The sequence below is a fragment of the Homo sapiens genome, chromosome 14, assembly GCF_000001405.40.
Source record: "Homo sapiens chromosome 14, GRCh38.p14 Primary Assembly".
Taxonomy (NCBI): Eukaryota; Metazoa; Chordata; class Mammalia; order Primates; family Hominidae; genus Homo; species Homo sapiens.
The window spans coordinates 48,377,123-48,393,998 of NC_000014.9; the positions used below are offsets into that span (position 1 = coordinate 48,377,123).

General features: G+C 35.8%; 1 long non-coding RNA gene across 1 annotated transcript; it reads right to left on the reverse strand.

The window, feature by feature from the left end:
• Positions 1-1,982: 1,982 nt before the first annotated feature.
• Positions 1,983-8,226, reverse strand: LOC124903311 (uncharacterized). Its single transcript, XR_007064151.1, has 2 exons — positions 7,845-8,226; positions 1,983-2,127 (listed from the first exon to the last, which is right to left on the reverse strand). It is a non-coding gene; the product is annotated as an uncharacterized LOC124903311 (long non-coding RNA).
• Positions 8,227-16,876: the final 8,650 nt, after the last annotated feature.

Below are 16,876 nucleotides of genomic sequence, written 5' to 3' on the forward strand. Positions count from 1 at the left end.
TGAGGCAGAGGAAAGACAGTGCCTGACTGCCGGCCCCTTAAAGACAAAAGCATTAAAAAGGAGAATGAATTAGCATGGCTGAAAGCAATGTATTTATTTATTTTTTGTGGAGTACTGCTATTTTAGGTTACCTTTTCTTTTTTTGTTTTTTGTTTTTTTGTTTTGAGATGGAGTCTAGCTCTGTCACCCAGGCTGGAGTGCAGTGGCATAATCTTGGCTTACTGCAAGCTCTGCCTCCCAGGTTCAAGTGATTCTCCTGCCTCAGCCTCCTGAGTAGCTAGGATTACAGGTGCACACCACCACACCCGGCTAATTTTTGTATTTTTAGTAGAGACAGGGTTTCACCATGTTGGTCAGGCTGGTTGCGAACTCCTGACCTCGTGATCCGCCTGCCTCAGCCTCCCAAAGTGCTGGGATTACAGGCGCGAGCCACCGCACCCAGCCTTAGGTTACCCTTTCATCCAACAGTGCTGATTCATCAGCTTGAAGAAATCATTAAATTCAATGCCAGGTATAGTGTCACGCTCTTTGTGGGAGGTCAGTAAACATTAATCAAGGGAGCTTATGAGAATTCACAAAGCAGAAAAATAGTATTATGTAAACAATTGTAAAACACAATAGAAACTGTAGTAGCTCTGGCATTTAAAATATGGGCTAAAATATTTAATAAAATATTTGGCTGTCTTTCTTACTTCGACGACCTTGTTTCTAGGGCAGGTTGACTCCTTTGAGAAGTGGATAATTCCATCTTGAATTTCTAATAATTTTACCTTGTAAAGTTTTCTTAAGAAAAAAATAAATCAGAAGAAACTAAAGTATCAATAGTTGTCTATCTTATTTATTGTTAAATATGTTTAACACATTTCTTAATAATAAAAATGATATTAGTAACTCAGTACAAAAATTGCCATTATTGGATATAAAACTTTAACATTTCCACAGGTATACATTTCATTAATTTAGTAAATAAATAGTGGTGCTTACTATGAGCCAGGTTATCAAAAAAACAATGAATGCCACTCCTGTTAATTATTAAAGTTATTGTTACTTACCTGGTGACAAAGTTTGCACACAAATGTACACAATTAATATGGTAGTGAAGTAGGGAAGAGGGGTGGGGGAGGCACAGCTCCCATAGGAGAATGGAAAGAAAGGAAGGTAACATTCAGACACGTGTTGGGTATTTTTCTACACTTCATTTCATTTACTCTTCAACCTTCCCATCACCCCTCCAAGGTTTTTTTCCTAATTGAAAAACCTCTGGCTTGAAATTACGTAATTCTCTTAGCAGTTAAGTTATGTAGCTAGTATTTGAAATTATGTCTATTTTACTTCTGATTTTATATTTTTAACCATATTGCCTCAGGATCTAGGGGAAATACTCCTGCTATCATATTCCTATTGAGCAGTGGTATATGATTCCTAGCTATAAGACAGACTAATGATTCCAAGAACCCATAACACCATTTTGAACTAATGGCTCACTTTGTTCTGTGATGCAATCATTACAAATCCTATTATTTGCCATTGTTCATTCTGGGAAATATTTATCATTTCTAGAACCAAGTTCCTGAGTTTATGAATAATTGCCTGCACTCTAACTTGCTTACTATCTTGGACATGCCCTAATCTGATTTTATCTGTCATCTTTCATCCCCTTAGTGAGCGCCCAGACTACAATGCAGTGCCCTTGGTAGTAACTCTGAATCAGATGATATATGGAATTAAAAATTCATGTATCATCCATCTTTTTCTTCTGTGCTCCTCCTGATGTTAACTAAAATTTCACTCTCTGTAAAGGTTAATGCTTTGCCTGCATCCCTCAATTCTAGGTAGTGGCAAGATATATACCACTTTCAAAAGCTTTATTTTAAACACTTCACTTTCCTACCACCATTTCTTATTGGTTCAATTGATATGTTCTACTTTCTTTATTTTCTTTATTCTTTATTCATCAGAACACTCTTCAGTGCACTTCCATCTTCATTCAATTTGGATTTATTTACCTATCATTAATTTTATTGACTCCATTGAAAACATTCACGATTCTTTTGCCCACTTAACCTCTGTCATCCTTGAACACAGGGTATTCCATCTCTGCATGTGTCATCAAGCTGTTGGTTGTAGCTGGGAGAAAATATCACAAGCATAATAATCAGTTTCAGTATTAATTCACAATTACAAACACAAATAAACAAAGCTCACTGCCAAAGAACTCTATAATTTTTTTTCCCTTTTTCTTTTTCTTTTTTTTTTTTTTATTTTTATTTTTTGAGATGGAGTCTCACTCTGTCACCCAGGCTGGAGTACAGTGGCGCGATCTCGGCTCACTGCAACCTCTCCCTCCTGGGTTCAAGCGAGTCTCGTGACTCAGCCACCTGAGTAGCTGGGACTACAGGCAAGAGCCACCACACCCTGCTAATTTTTTGTATTTTTAGTAGAGATGGGGTGTCACTACGTTGGTCAGGCTGGTCTCGAACTCCTGACCTCAAATAATCCACCCTCTTCTACTATATTTCCATTAGTATATTTTCGTTTCTCTTCCAAGTCCTTACCACCTCCTTTCTCTAGCACCCTTGACTCTTAGATAATGATTTCACTTCGTATTTCATTGAGAAAATATAACCTAACACAGAACAAAAACTATTTTATCAACCAATACGTCAATAATCCAATAAAAATTTTTATTCCTCATGTGTCTATTATCTTATCCTCTTAATCTTATCAAAGTCCTCTCTTGTCTTCGCTTCTGAATATTCGTTTGACTTTACTCAAAATTTTACTCATTATTCATCACCTTCTTCATCAAATTATCTGGATCCACTGGATTATAAGTATTAGCTGTTCCAGTGACTCCTACCAAAATAATTATAACTCTATTTTCTAAAACCCAAAACAAAACAAAAATAAATTCTTCCTACTTGATGCTACAACTCCTCCTGTGAGGGACATTTTCTATTCTTCTTCATAGAAAAATCTTCAAAGCATCTTTTACAATTTAATTTGTATCTCCATTGTCTCACCTTCTATTTATTTTTCTACCAAAATTATGATATTTTAGCTACTACAGTTGCTCTGAATAATCAACTATCCTTTGTGTATAACAAGGAGTCTGTGTCTTCTACTAACATTCATAAAATGATGGTAGTCTAAATTGTTTTTTTGTAAGTAGGTTAAAATCTCAGACCCTTCACAGCTCTTGACAGTTATCGGTATTTATGTAGTAGTCTACGGACTAAGCAATGCTTTTTGTTTCCCATATCTATCTCCAGTTAACTCTTGTCATATCATTATGACATTTTTTGCATTGTATAGACCAAATCATATTAAAAGGAAATTCCGTAGTACTGTGTAAATATCTACCGCTCTTTATCTTATGTTTGTTTATCTATTTATTCATTCATTATGAAGAAGTCTGTAATTGAATGAGACACATGGTGGACTTCTTATTTTAGGCCTTCAGATCAGCAAATACAGTCTTACTTGCCCATAAATACATACATATTCCTGTAGGTATAACTTCTTATATAGATGAACTACATGCTGTGGTATACATAATTAATTGAATAAAAATATATATTGGAACTAATTGAATTTAAACAATAAAATGCTGTAAGTATATACATTCAAATAAATATTTTCTGTTGTGGACTGTAACTGCTACAGAGGAAGGTACATTGTAATGACAGAAGTGACCACCCTAGACATTTAAAATATATGATTGTCCTGAGAGTTAACTGGGAAATTTACATGCAATAAACTTAACCATATGTGGGAGTGAACAATTAGATCCTGCATGTGTAGGAGGACCCAGAACTCAAATCACAGTAATCTTAAAAGAGTTAAATTACGGAAGCCAGATTTACACTTAAATCAAAATTTGATCAAGCATATGTCATGCCAAGCTTAGAGACTGAGGCTCATTTATCATTTGCAGCACACACAAAATATTTACCCAATGCTTACTGTGTCAAGCATTGTGTACAAAATAATGAGCAAAACAGGTAAGATCCTTGACTTTCTGGAGCTCACATTTCAACAGACACTAAGTAATCACTTAAATTGATTTACAATCACAATTTCGACAAGTGCTATGAAGACAATACTCCAGTGTTATAAAAGAGACATAATTTAGTATCACATTAAGGAAGACCTCCATAGGACCTATTAGATACATGAGGGTTGGACATAAGTGGAAAGCAAGCACAGCAGTGAGGATGGTTTTGGAGAAGGGACTTTTGGCTATATAGAACCCAGCATCTGGGTTCCTTTATTAAGGTTTCCCAAAGTGAAGGATAACACTTGTGGCTATGTAGCTAAAAGATACTTCTTAATATCCGGTAATTCCCTTTTGGATGATTGAAGTACTTGCCTTCAGTAAGGAAAAACAAATTCATATTTCCCGTTTGTTGTTTAGTTTATAAAATATTATTTGGATTATAATTTGACTTTATAAGTTACTAAGCTTTAGGAAAAAAGCACTAACCCACATTCTTATTGCATTGCATTTTTATTATAAATTAGCATATTCACATTTAGGTTTTTTGAGTGGTCTGGATGAGATTAGTTAATGTGTGTTTCACTCTGAGGTATACAGATTTTTAAAATATGCCCTCCAGATGAGTCTATTATATTTGTCTTTACTAGATTCTTAACAGAGGTGAATTCATTAAGGTAAATTCTATCTTGTAGGGTGCAGGGACAAAGTTGAGTGGACAGAAAGATGTTTTCAGTTTGCACTCTCTTTTCTTAGACATGAAAAATGTATTTAAGAACTGATCTATAAACAGTAATAAAACATTGAGCTATTCATGCCTGCTCAGTGGTCAGAAGTAAGTAAAAAGGTAACTGAATCAAAGTTATATTAGATAATATAAGTCCCTGTTTGATATCCAATATTACTTGTTTACTCTCCCTAATGGAGATACTATGTATCTAGTTACAGCATTATGAAATGAATATAAATGAGAAAATAAATAGAAAAATAGATCCTATAGTTATTTTTAATGTTTACAAATGACAGTTATTAAATATAATAGATTAATGGCATAGTAAGTGATATGAAAATAAAATTATTTTAGAAAATTATTAATAATGATAGTAAATATAAGGACAAACCAAACATAATTGTAATAAATAAGTACAAAGGTGAATGTATAGATAACAATCCCCTTCAGCAAATGTTCTAGTACCTTTGCCTGCTGACTCCTGTGAAGACATTTAGACTGAACTTTTCTTTGATGCTGTTAGATTAGTGTATTGTGTATATGTGTGTTTGTGTTTTTTTAAGCTAGTATAACCTTTACCACATAGACTATATATTCCATATTACAAGTAAGTTAGCTACATATTAATATGTCCAGTCTTGCACTATTCATAGCACTGTATTCTCAAACTGGTGTCTCTCAATGACAAAAAACAATCACTAAAAATGGAAATTAGCTGGCTGGGTGTGGTGGCTCATGCTTGTAATCCCAGCACTTTTGTGAGCCCGAAGTGGGCGGATCATGAGATCAAGAGATCGAGACCATCCTGGCCAACATGGTGAAACCCTGTCTCTACAAAAATACAAAAATTAGCTCGGCGTGGTGGTGCCCGCCTGCAGTCCCGGATACTTGGGAGACTGAGGCAGGAGAATCACTTTAACTCGGGAGGTGGAAGTTACAGTGAGCTAATATCACACCATTGCACTCTAGCCTGAGCGACAGTGTGAGACTCTGTCTCAAAATAAAAAAAAAATTTAAAAAAAAGGAAATTAGCTAAGCCACAAATTGGAAACCAATGAATTTATCTCAAATAAAATCCTTAAAATCCATAAAGCTCTATAGATGATGGATGTTGGAGGGCTTTTCTGACAAAGCCAAATGTGGTCGTGATGCAAGATATTTCCTGGACCCCTTCACAGGACTTGCAACAGGGGTGCCTCATTTACTCAACCCACCCCGTGCAAACCCTTGCGGGAGGGAGCACACAGGTGAGCGAGTGCGGGATCCGGCCAGCTGCTTTTGGGCACCAACAGGAGCAAACTCCCTGTGGGCCTCGTGGCAGCATCCAGGTGGGGGTGCGTGCAACTCGCAAAGCCCCAGAGGGCATGTTACAGTGCTCTTTTAGCTCTGCGGTCTGTGGACGGGTTAAGTGTTAATAGCTCAGGGGCCCTTTGCCTTGCTGCATGGGGTGGCTGCCTTCTGCCAGCGAGGGCAAAGAGCCAGTGTGACAGCCTTCTTTGGGTACCCGCACCCAGTACATCCGGAATTCTTGTCTGGTGCCCAAGTGAAATGAGGTCATGTGCACAAATTGAAGGATGGTGAATGTAGAGAATTTTATTGAGTGATGAAAGCGGCTCTCAGTGGAGAGGAAAGGTGGAAAGGGAACGGGAAGGGAAGATCACTCTCCCCTGAAGTCAAGATGCCTCTGCCTCTTTTCTGAAGTCAAGTTGCCTCTCTTCAGCTGCCGTCTCGGAAGTCAAAGTCACCTCTCTCCAATGCCCAGATGTTTCTTCTTTCTGTCAGCTGAATCTGGGGTCCTTATAGGCACAGGATGGGGGGCAGGGTGGGCCATGGGTAGTTTAGGAAAAGGCAACTTTCAAGCAGGAAAACAAGAATAGTTCTCACTTTGGGTCAAGGGTTTCAGGCTTTGCGGCTCGAAGGTGGGGTTTTGCCAGAGACCCACCTCTAGAATTTCTCTGTCTCCTGCCTCTATCATTATATCAGTAGTTATCCTTGCTTACTAGAATATTGTTAATAAGGTTATTAACTGGGAAATTAAATCAAAGTTATTTAGCATTCATATAAATGCCCCTATAATAAGGAATGATTACTTAAGCTTAAATATTATTTTACTGTTAAAGATACAAAACCTTTGGCCGGGCGCGGTGGCTCACGCCTGTAATCCTAGCACTTTGGGAGGCCAAGGCTGGGAGATCACCTGAGGTCGGGAATTTGAAACCAGCCTGACCAACATGGAGAAACCCCGTCTCTACTAAAAATACAAAATTAGCCAGGCATAGAGGCGCATGCCTGTAATCCCAGCTACTCGGGAGGCTGAGGCAGGAGAATCGCTTGAACCTGGGAGGCAGAGGGTGCGGTGAGCCGAGATCATGCCATTGCACTCCAGCCTGGGCAACAAGAGCAAGAAAAAAACTCCATCTCAAAAAGGAAAAAAAAAAAAAAGATACAAACTCTTTATCCATAATATTCTAAAATGATGTTAAACATTACATAAAATTGTTATACACAATTCGACGTGAACTTATAGAAGTTAGTCAGATATAAAAATATCCTATAAGAAATAGCTTAAATATACAAATAAAAATTCCTATAAACTATGTGAAAAAATGCTTCTCTTTGTGTTTACACATTTAATACACAGGATTAAAATGTTAAAAATTGATTATTTCTATCACACAATGTTTTTAGATAGCATGGCTATATAGGAAGATTATTGATTATCCTGGTGAATCAAAACCAACATCATTTCCTCAAATTTATAAGGATGGTTTTGTGCTTATTTTCCCCCAAGTTTATGATATCCAAGTTCACACATTCAGTACTTTTATGATGTAATTTCTTGGATGCATCTCCTATATTATAATTTGGATAGAGATTTTCCTTGTAATTACAGCAAAGTTTACACTATACTCAAAACCATGTAAAAATTATCTCTGACATGAAACATGAAGCTGTTGAAATATTGGGATGACTAAGACTTTCACCCAGAGAAAACAAAGTGATAGAATATTTTCATTGAATTTTGAATCCTACCCCTGATAAAGGCAAACCATCACTTACTCCCTCTTATTAGTCACAGCTATTTTTGTTACAAATGACAACACAGCTCAATCTTACCTCAGCACAAAAATAACTTATTGACTCAAAGGATGGCACTATCTTCAGGCATGGCTGGCTCCAGGAATTCAAAGAGCTGTAAGAACTCTTTATCTTTCTATCCGTATTTCAATTTGGACTCACTCTCAGATAGATGTGGTCCAATACAGCAGCAAGTTTCCCAGGCAACTGTCAACTTACATGTTCCTTGGAGACTGACATGCAAGAAAAATAAAAGTATGTGTTTTGCCAAATGGCTTCAGTGCAAGACCCAGCCCAGATTCTTATTAACCCAGTTTGGATCGTATACTGATTTATGGACTAATTACTTGTCTATGAATGGAGAACTCTGACTGGTCAGATATGTATGTGCACACTATTGCCAATGGGCCTTGGAAATGTGTTCAGTCACACCAGAACCAGTCAATGATCATAATAATGGTAAATACATCTCTGAAGAATAGGATACTGAGCAGACCAGAAATAAATACACCTGATCTTCCTGAGCCTGAATCTTCACATTAACTATTTTAAGAAAATTTAGGTTACAGGATTTTATAAATTTATATTAAAACATATATTTAACTAAAACCTCAGAAGTTTCTTCTGCATTTAGTCATACCAGGTAAGGTAAATCATATTTCTCAAAATATTTAATTCATTTTAATTAATATTTTATATGCATGGGAAGCCATGCATTTAAAATAATATATTACTGAAAGGCACTGAAAAGTGAGCTTCTGCAAATGTTTAAATTGAATAAAGGTAAACAATATTTACTAAGAATCCACTGTGATAAAGATGTTAAGGGAATTTCAATAGGCATCCCAAGTAACAGCAATAATTATATTTATGAATTGAGGAGTAATTCTAAATCAGTGTTAAAATAATCCACCCAAGATTAGGGGACATAACTGAGTTTGTGACTATTCAAATCTCCTGTTTGTTTCTTTTTTAGTCTCCCGCTATCCAGTGCTAGATTCTATATTCCTACTAATTTTGCTATATACTGATAGATACATTATGAAGTAGCTGAGAAAATGAGCTTGGAGATCAATGTGAATGGAGGCAAAATTAGTCATTTCTATTAACTGTTCCCTTAAATTTCTCAACTTCTCTCAGTAGCAGTTTAGATCAAATACATCTAGAACCCATCATCAATCCGTTTAGCTACCTTCTTGCCAATGATACCACTTCCTTTGCCTTTGTGTCCAAACTCTAAATCAACCCAACCCTCAGACTTTTCTGAATCTGACCTTAAGAGCAATTACAAAGAAAACCACACAACCATGCAGACAGATGTCACTCTATGTGTAGACTTCTATCTGTACAAGGCCTTCAGAACTTACTGGATTTATTAGTTTACAGTTCCAGGGGTTAGAAGTCTGAAATGGGTTCACTGGGCTAAAATCAAGATGTCAGCAGAGCTGGGTTCCTTCTGGAGGCTTTAAAGGAGAAGATGTTTCCTCGCCTTTTCCAAATTCTAGAGGCTTCCTGGATTTCTGCACATATGATTCCCATTAGCAATCATATGACTCCAATCTCTGTTTCTCTGCTTCTGTCTTCACATCTCCTCTGATTCTGACACTTCTCTTATAAAAACCATTGTGATTACATTGAGCCCACACAGATAATCCAAGATAACCTTCCTATCTCAAGACACTGAATTTTATCACATCTGCAAAGTCAAATCTTCTATGCAAGGTAACATATTGACAGGTTTGGGGATAAGAACATAGACATCTTTGGGAGACCATTATTCAGTCTATTACACCTTTCTATCAGCGTGTTGAAATGTTCATTGCTTTCCTATTCTCACTCCCTTAACCTTACTTGAAATCAACTCATTTTTTAAACTCTTCAGAACCAATCTTCTTGAGCTGCCTAGAGAAATGTATTTTTCCTCATCACCCTACATACACATACACAGGTAGTACAGAAACGACTTCCACCAAGGCCACTGTGACTATTTTTAAATTACAAAAACCTCTTCAGTTCTTACACTTGACTCTTTAGTTGCATTTGCAGTGTCGGTAACTCATTGCTTCTTAACACACATACATAGGTATCTACGACTTCTACTTTTCTGGTTTTCCACTTGTGTCTCTTGTTCTTTTACAGTTTACTTTCAGGATTTTTCTTCCTCTGCCTATTATTTTTATGTTACTTTTTCTCTGGTTCTGTTAGTCTTATTAGCTACTGGCTGCAAAAATCTCTCTAGGTTGGCTCAAAAACACTATCATTGCAAATTCTTTTAAAAAATACCAAAAAGTTTGTAGTTTCCACATTTGGAATAGATCTCTTTTTATTGCAGACTATATGTACAACTGATTACTATAATTTTAATTAGATAGAGAAAGCACTCTGATCCTATTCTACCCCCTCTGTTTCTTATGCTCAAACAAAAATCTTCAATCTCATTCTTGAATTTTCCTCTATATCCTCACCATCCAATTTGTCATAATTCTTCTGTGTTCTTTATTTTAAATACATCCTGTAATGTTTTACTTTATTTTTATGGTCATGACCATGGTTCATGAAAAGGTTTTCTATCATCTGAATTATTTTTATAGCCTTCAGGCAAGTTTCCCTTCTTCAAATGTGGCTTCCTTTCTAAGCTATGTTCTGTGATAAAGCCAGAGGGATTTTTCTAAAATGCCAATTACCTCTTCCCATTCTCATGCTTAAAATCTTTCATAGTTTTCCATTGCTCCTGGATAGGACCAGCTTCATGGGCATGGGACATGTGTAGTTGCACAGGATCCTGCTCTGAGAATGCTCTGCTCTACCATCTTAAAATTCTTAATATTTTTTGAACATGAAGCCCCATGTTTTCATTTTGCACAGGGCCTCACAAATTATAGAGCCAGCCCTTTTTTAATATTTGCCTATCTTAATTATAGAGCTGGCCCTGTTCTTACATTTAATTACTTGGCCTCTGTCCTTTGTCCCTTTAGCAACTCAAGTTGCTCTTTCTGTCCAAATGCACAGAGACATAAACACACACACAATCATTACAACTCAACCATTTACACTCCGTCTCCAATGCTTTATTGAGCTACTATTCAATCTGTAGATCTCTGTTTCAATATTAATTTCTGGAGGAAGCCATTACACACACTATTTCATAGCCAGTCCGAAGCACAGGGCATCTCTGCTTCTGTCTTGTGGCGCTCATTTATCTATGGTAACTGGTAATCTGCTTTTCTGTATCTGCCAGTGTATGCTAAGGTACATGCAACTGTTAACTATTTTACCCATAGCGCATTACATATTTATTGTTATTAAGGATATTTATAAATACTTAGTTTCTGAAGGGTTAACAAATAGTAATTTTCTTTCTTTTATTCAATAGAAGAAAACATGTAGATGTTAAGACCATCTACTTAATATGGATCTGTGGCAGCAAACATAATATAATTATTATATTTCTATTGATAAGCTTTGTACATCTGCCAAAATTCAGAGACGCACTAGCATCTTGGGTTTTACTTGTGCAAATACTGCAAGAAAGGGAGTATTTTCACAGCTCAAATATTTTAAATTATATAATTTATTATTGACTGCTCTCTTGGTTGACTTTTACAGGGATGGTCTTTTATAGTCATGCAAATATTATTATTATTCTGATAAAGTAAGCCTATTGTTAGCTAAAATCCATGATGAAGACCAAAATAAGTGTAAAATGAAAGGTCAGTTTTCCTGTCTTACTATGATTGTCAAAGCAACCTCTTATTTGTACTATGTAAATAAAAGACTAGAGAAAATGATATTAGCATGAAAGCATACAGGCAGAGATATACTAAGGCCTTTGTGTAAACTAAATAACAGCATGGTACACAATGCTATAAAGGCACTAAAAAGTGAGCTTCTGCAAATGTCTACATTGAACAAAGGTGGGAAATTCTTCCCCATCACAAAATTTTGTCAGAATGCCTAGTCTCAGCATGTTCTTCAAGGTATTGTACAATGGGATAGAACTGATTTGGCTACAGATATGCCCAGTTATCTGGACTTTATTATCCACATTCACCGAGTGACAGCCTCGTCGTGATCATCATCATCATCCTTCTCATGAAACAATATTTACTAAGAATCCACTATGATAAAGATGTTAAGGGAATTGCAATAGGATAAAAATTAATACAGTCTTTAAATTTTATTAATTTACAATTTTTAAAAATTATGCTAAGTGAAATGAGCCAGACACAGAAAAATACTGCATGATCTCACTTACATACAGGATCTTTTAAAAAATCAAGTATATTAAAACAGAGAGTAGAACAGTGGTTACCAGAGGCAGAGAGAGGGAGGAAATGAAAAGTAGGCCAAAGAATACAAATTTGTAGTTAGGTAGGATGACTAAATCTAGAGATCTAAGGCACAACATGAGAACTATAGTTAATAATATTGTATTGTATACTGAACAGTTGTTAAGATAATAGATTTGAGGTGTTCTTACCACAAGAAGGGAAAGATAACTATAGAGGTGATGGATGCATACATTTGACTGTAGTATTAGTTATCATTTCATTATGTATATGTATAATAAATCTGAACATCATGTTATACATTCTCAATATATACTATAAAAATATATATATTTTTTAAATGAGCTATCAAGCCACAAAAAGATGTGGAGGATGCTTAAATACATACAACTAAGTGAAAGAAGCCAGTGTGATGAGACTGCACATTGTCTTAGTCCAACTACATGGCATCCTGGAAAAATTAAAACTAGAAAGACAGAGTAAAAGAGCAGTGCTTTCCAGGGATTTGTAGGGAGCAGAGGAGATGTATAGGAGATACATGGGGGATTTTTAGCCAGTGAATCTATTCAGTATAATATAATGGTGGATACATGATATTTAGTATTTGTCAAAACCCACAGATCTGTACAACACGAAGTGCTAATGTAAACTGAGAGCTTTAGTCAGTAATAATACACCAATATTTGTTCATCAATTATAGTAAATGTACCTGGTGCAAGGTATTAGTGACAGGGAGATCTATGAGGCAGAAGGAGAAAGGAGTATATAAGAACTCTGTACTATTTGCTGGAGTTTTTGTAAACATAATACTGCTATAAAAATAAAATCTATTAATTTAAAAAATATCCTAAATTGTATTGAAGGAGAGCTAAGGACCCTATTTAATACAGCATGCAAATACGTACTTTGCTTTCTTAAGACTTTTCTCATTTATATTTCTGCACAGTGAATTTGCCATATGTTCATCTAGCTGGATTAATGTAAGAACATTTCTCATAAAGTGAGCAGAAATATTGTTAGATAAAAGCTTACAGATACTATGAGCCATAGTGAAACTATGAAAAATAATAAAACATAAAACCGATTGCAAAATAATGCAGCTAGAAAGCCAATAAAATTATGCTATCACAAGACTGGTACCAAGGAAGAAAGACTGTGTGCTGGGAACAGATATAGCACCAGCACACAAGACAGATGCTCTTCATAGCACTTTTATATAAACTTATTTGGGTACAGCTGGGAGGGGCATTGCCAGTCACATCCAGATAGTGCTCATTAGAGAAGCTGTGGCAAATGATAACAGAAACTCAATTTTCCCTCCCAAGAACTATCTGCTAAAGAGGAGTTGTCATTCAGCCTTTGGGAATGTTTCCCCATGTGCAGATGTTTCTATTCTCTGGGTGCATAATCAGATCTGTCATTAGCACTTCCAGTCTTTTCTGTTTGGGCAGAGAAGAGAGTGTTTCCCGCTTACGAGAGAATCTAAGTGTTTGTTATGCCATAGTCAAAAATAAAATGGGATTTACTTCCAGGATCTCATTTAGGCTTTATACTATCTATTGTGAAAAGGTAGGTTCCTCCTCAATGTTATGACAAATTTTTCAATTTGTCTGAATATATACATGCATTAAAAAATAGAAGCCTAATGCACCAGGAAATAGCCCTTTTCTCACCCTGTAGTCACTTTTACCATGAATTTTCAATGCTGTTTTACCCTTGACTATAAGGCTCACTATCTTGCTGAATGTTTTTCTTCAATTTTTTTTAAAGAAAAGGAAAAATCATTTCAAAGGCCAATTGATTATTTTTTCAAGCATGTTGTGGTTTTCAAGTTAGAGATGGATTGGTTAATTAAAATTTGAGGGGTGGATTTCCTCTTCTCAAGTGCAGGGATAACATGTTACACTTATTAGGAATAAGTAGCATCAAAATCGTTAGATATGGGAAAGGGACTCAGGATATACAGAATCTAAAATCTACATAACCAGGGAATATCCTCATAAACTTGACACAGTTTTTACTCGTTTGAGGACAATTGGGATGGTCATGAATGCCTGGTCCTTTTCCCACTGGACCACACTGTAAAATGGCACTTCTGTACTCCCTTTTATGTATGTCCAGGTGACTATCTTTGGTTGAAGACATGTGGTCAAAGGTGATGTGTTACCTTTTGAGTGGAGTCTGAAGAACCAGGGCGTGGTTTCTTTTACCTACTTCCTTATCAACTGTTGTGGTAATAATGAAAGAATGAGAAGGGGCTTCTGCCAATCCTACGGGTCTAAAATTAGTAACCTCCTGCCAAATGACCTCAAACATATGATGTGGGTGAAAAAAATTGTCTTTTAGCTACTGAGATTTGGGAAATATTCATTACTGCATTGTAACATAAGTATTCTGACTTACATGAAGTAAGGTCAAAACTGAGTGTAAAAGGACAAACAGGAGTTAATTAGAGGAATGAAAGGCGAGGAGTATTCTAGAAAAAGGGGATATCACAAGCAAAGATACAGGAAGATTTAAAAGCCTATGACTGGGATAGAAAGCATGCACAATTAATGACTCGGATTTGGTAAAATCAGCACAGAAATCTGCTCAAGAAGTACATTTTTAGCCATGTACTAGTCTGTTTTTACACTGCTGTAAAGAACTACCCAAGACTGGGTAATTTATAAACAAAAGAGGTTTAATTGACTCACAGTTCCACATGGCTGGGGAAGCCTCAGGAAACTTAGTCATGGCGGGAGGCAGCTCTTCACAGGGTGGGATGAGAGAAGAAACGAGCAAGAGAGGACCTACCAAACACGTATAAAACCACAGATCTTGTAAAAACTCACCCACTGTCACAAAAACAGTATGAGGGGAACTGCCCTCACAATCCAATCACCTCCCACCAGGTCTCTCCCTCAATGCTTGGGAGTTACAATTCAAGATGACATTTGGGTGGGGACACAAATCCTAACCATATTAAGACACATATTAAATACAAGAAACAGGATTGCTGGAGATTTTGAGGGAATAAAGGATGAGGGAATGTTAAGTACATATTTTAAGAAATCAACTTCTCCTTTTCCTAGAGGATATATTCCTTGGAAGCCTTCTCTCTGCTGTCTTCCCTATTTCTTCCCATAGTCTATGGCCACTGCAATCTGTAAGGACTTCTCAAAGCAAGCTTTTGACCTCTTAGAAAACCTGCAGATTTTGGTTTTGGTGTCTTTTATTGCTCACGTGTATTTTACAAAGTGGACAGGAAGATTAAACCAGATATAAACTTACAGATGCTACAAGCTTTAGTGACATGAATGGTCTTTTCCCAATTGCAAAATAATACAAATAAGGTTAAAATGCTTTTTATGTATTATATGTGAATAGTATATATTCTATAGGTAAGTTTTCACAAATTTGAATGTATGGACACATATTTCATCTAATGAAATTTTAGAGTTGTCACCAAAACATTATCTGACAGATCCTTTATGATTGATTTTTATCTATAGCCTATATATTTTCCCCAATAATTCTATAGTATCTCAGTAGTGATTAACTTATGCCTTTAATTGCTGAATCCTGGTCATTAAAAAAGTGCTGATTACTTTAAAATTCACTAAAGTTCTTTGATATTAATCCTCTTCCTGAATAACTTTTATTGATTTATTAGCATTACTCCTATCCAATTATCTTTCATTAGATTTTAAAAAATAATAATTTTCTTGTAATAAAAACTGAATTCAAATAAAATGTGCAAATTAGCTTCCTTACCAATCTTTAAAATAACAGTCAAATTCCATTGACTCTGGTTTTTCTATAGTGTAGAAATAAATAGACTATAAATAATCAGGCTTGCTGAGTATAAATCTAAACTTGTCAGACTTAGCTAGTTAGAAACTGTTTTTTTGTACTTCTGTTAGTCATGAAAGATATGCAGAATTGCTTCTATGTCACTTTTAAGTAGCTGAACATTTCTATGTATGCGTATTCCCTGGGGATATTGAAAATAGAAATTTCAAAAAAATTAAGTACCAGATTGTCTAGGAGCATAAACACAAGGGGTAAAATTTTACCTTTAGCTATGTTAATGCAAATGTGGTCACAGTCATGAATATATTATTTTTATTCTTCTGAATCTGAGATTGCCTATATCAGAAATGGAATTTTAGCTCATTTATCCTGTGGATATAACACATTACATATGTACTAGTGAGAACATCTTTTTTTATTCACTTTTTTTTTTTTCGGGTATTACAAAATGTAACTGGTAGCTCATTCTCTTATAAAGTCTGAGAACTCCCTCCTACTATAAAATGGTTATATCAACAAAAGACTATCACTGCAGTGTAAACCATAGCAGTGCTTGAAGTTACTGGCCCTGGCAGGCTCCTTCTCCAGGGTTATGAGATCAAACAAATTGAATCGATCAGCGAGCTCTGTGAACCACTGGCCACTTCCATGAGACAAACCTATTCCCCAGGAAATTGTTAAGTTGTTTTTCAGTCTTGATCAAATTGAAGAGTTATGTTAGTATTGTATAGAAAACGTTCAAACTTACCAGACCTTAATCAGGACCCTTTTCAAGTGGCCATATTTTCCGTAGATGTGTATGTATGAATGTATATGTGTGTAAACGTCAGGTGGGAGTTTGCAGTACTTAAATATCATGTACTATATAGCATTATTATATTTCCTTACTCGTATCCACTCAAAAGGTAGAAACAATAGACAACTAACCATGATATCAGGCAAGAAAATGTAATGTCTTTAGGTTTCCCTTTAAAATGGAGGCACACC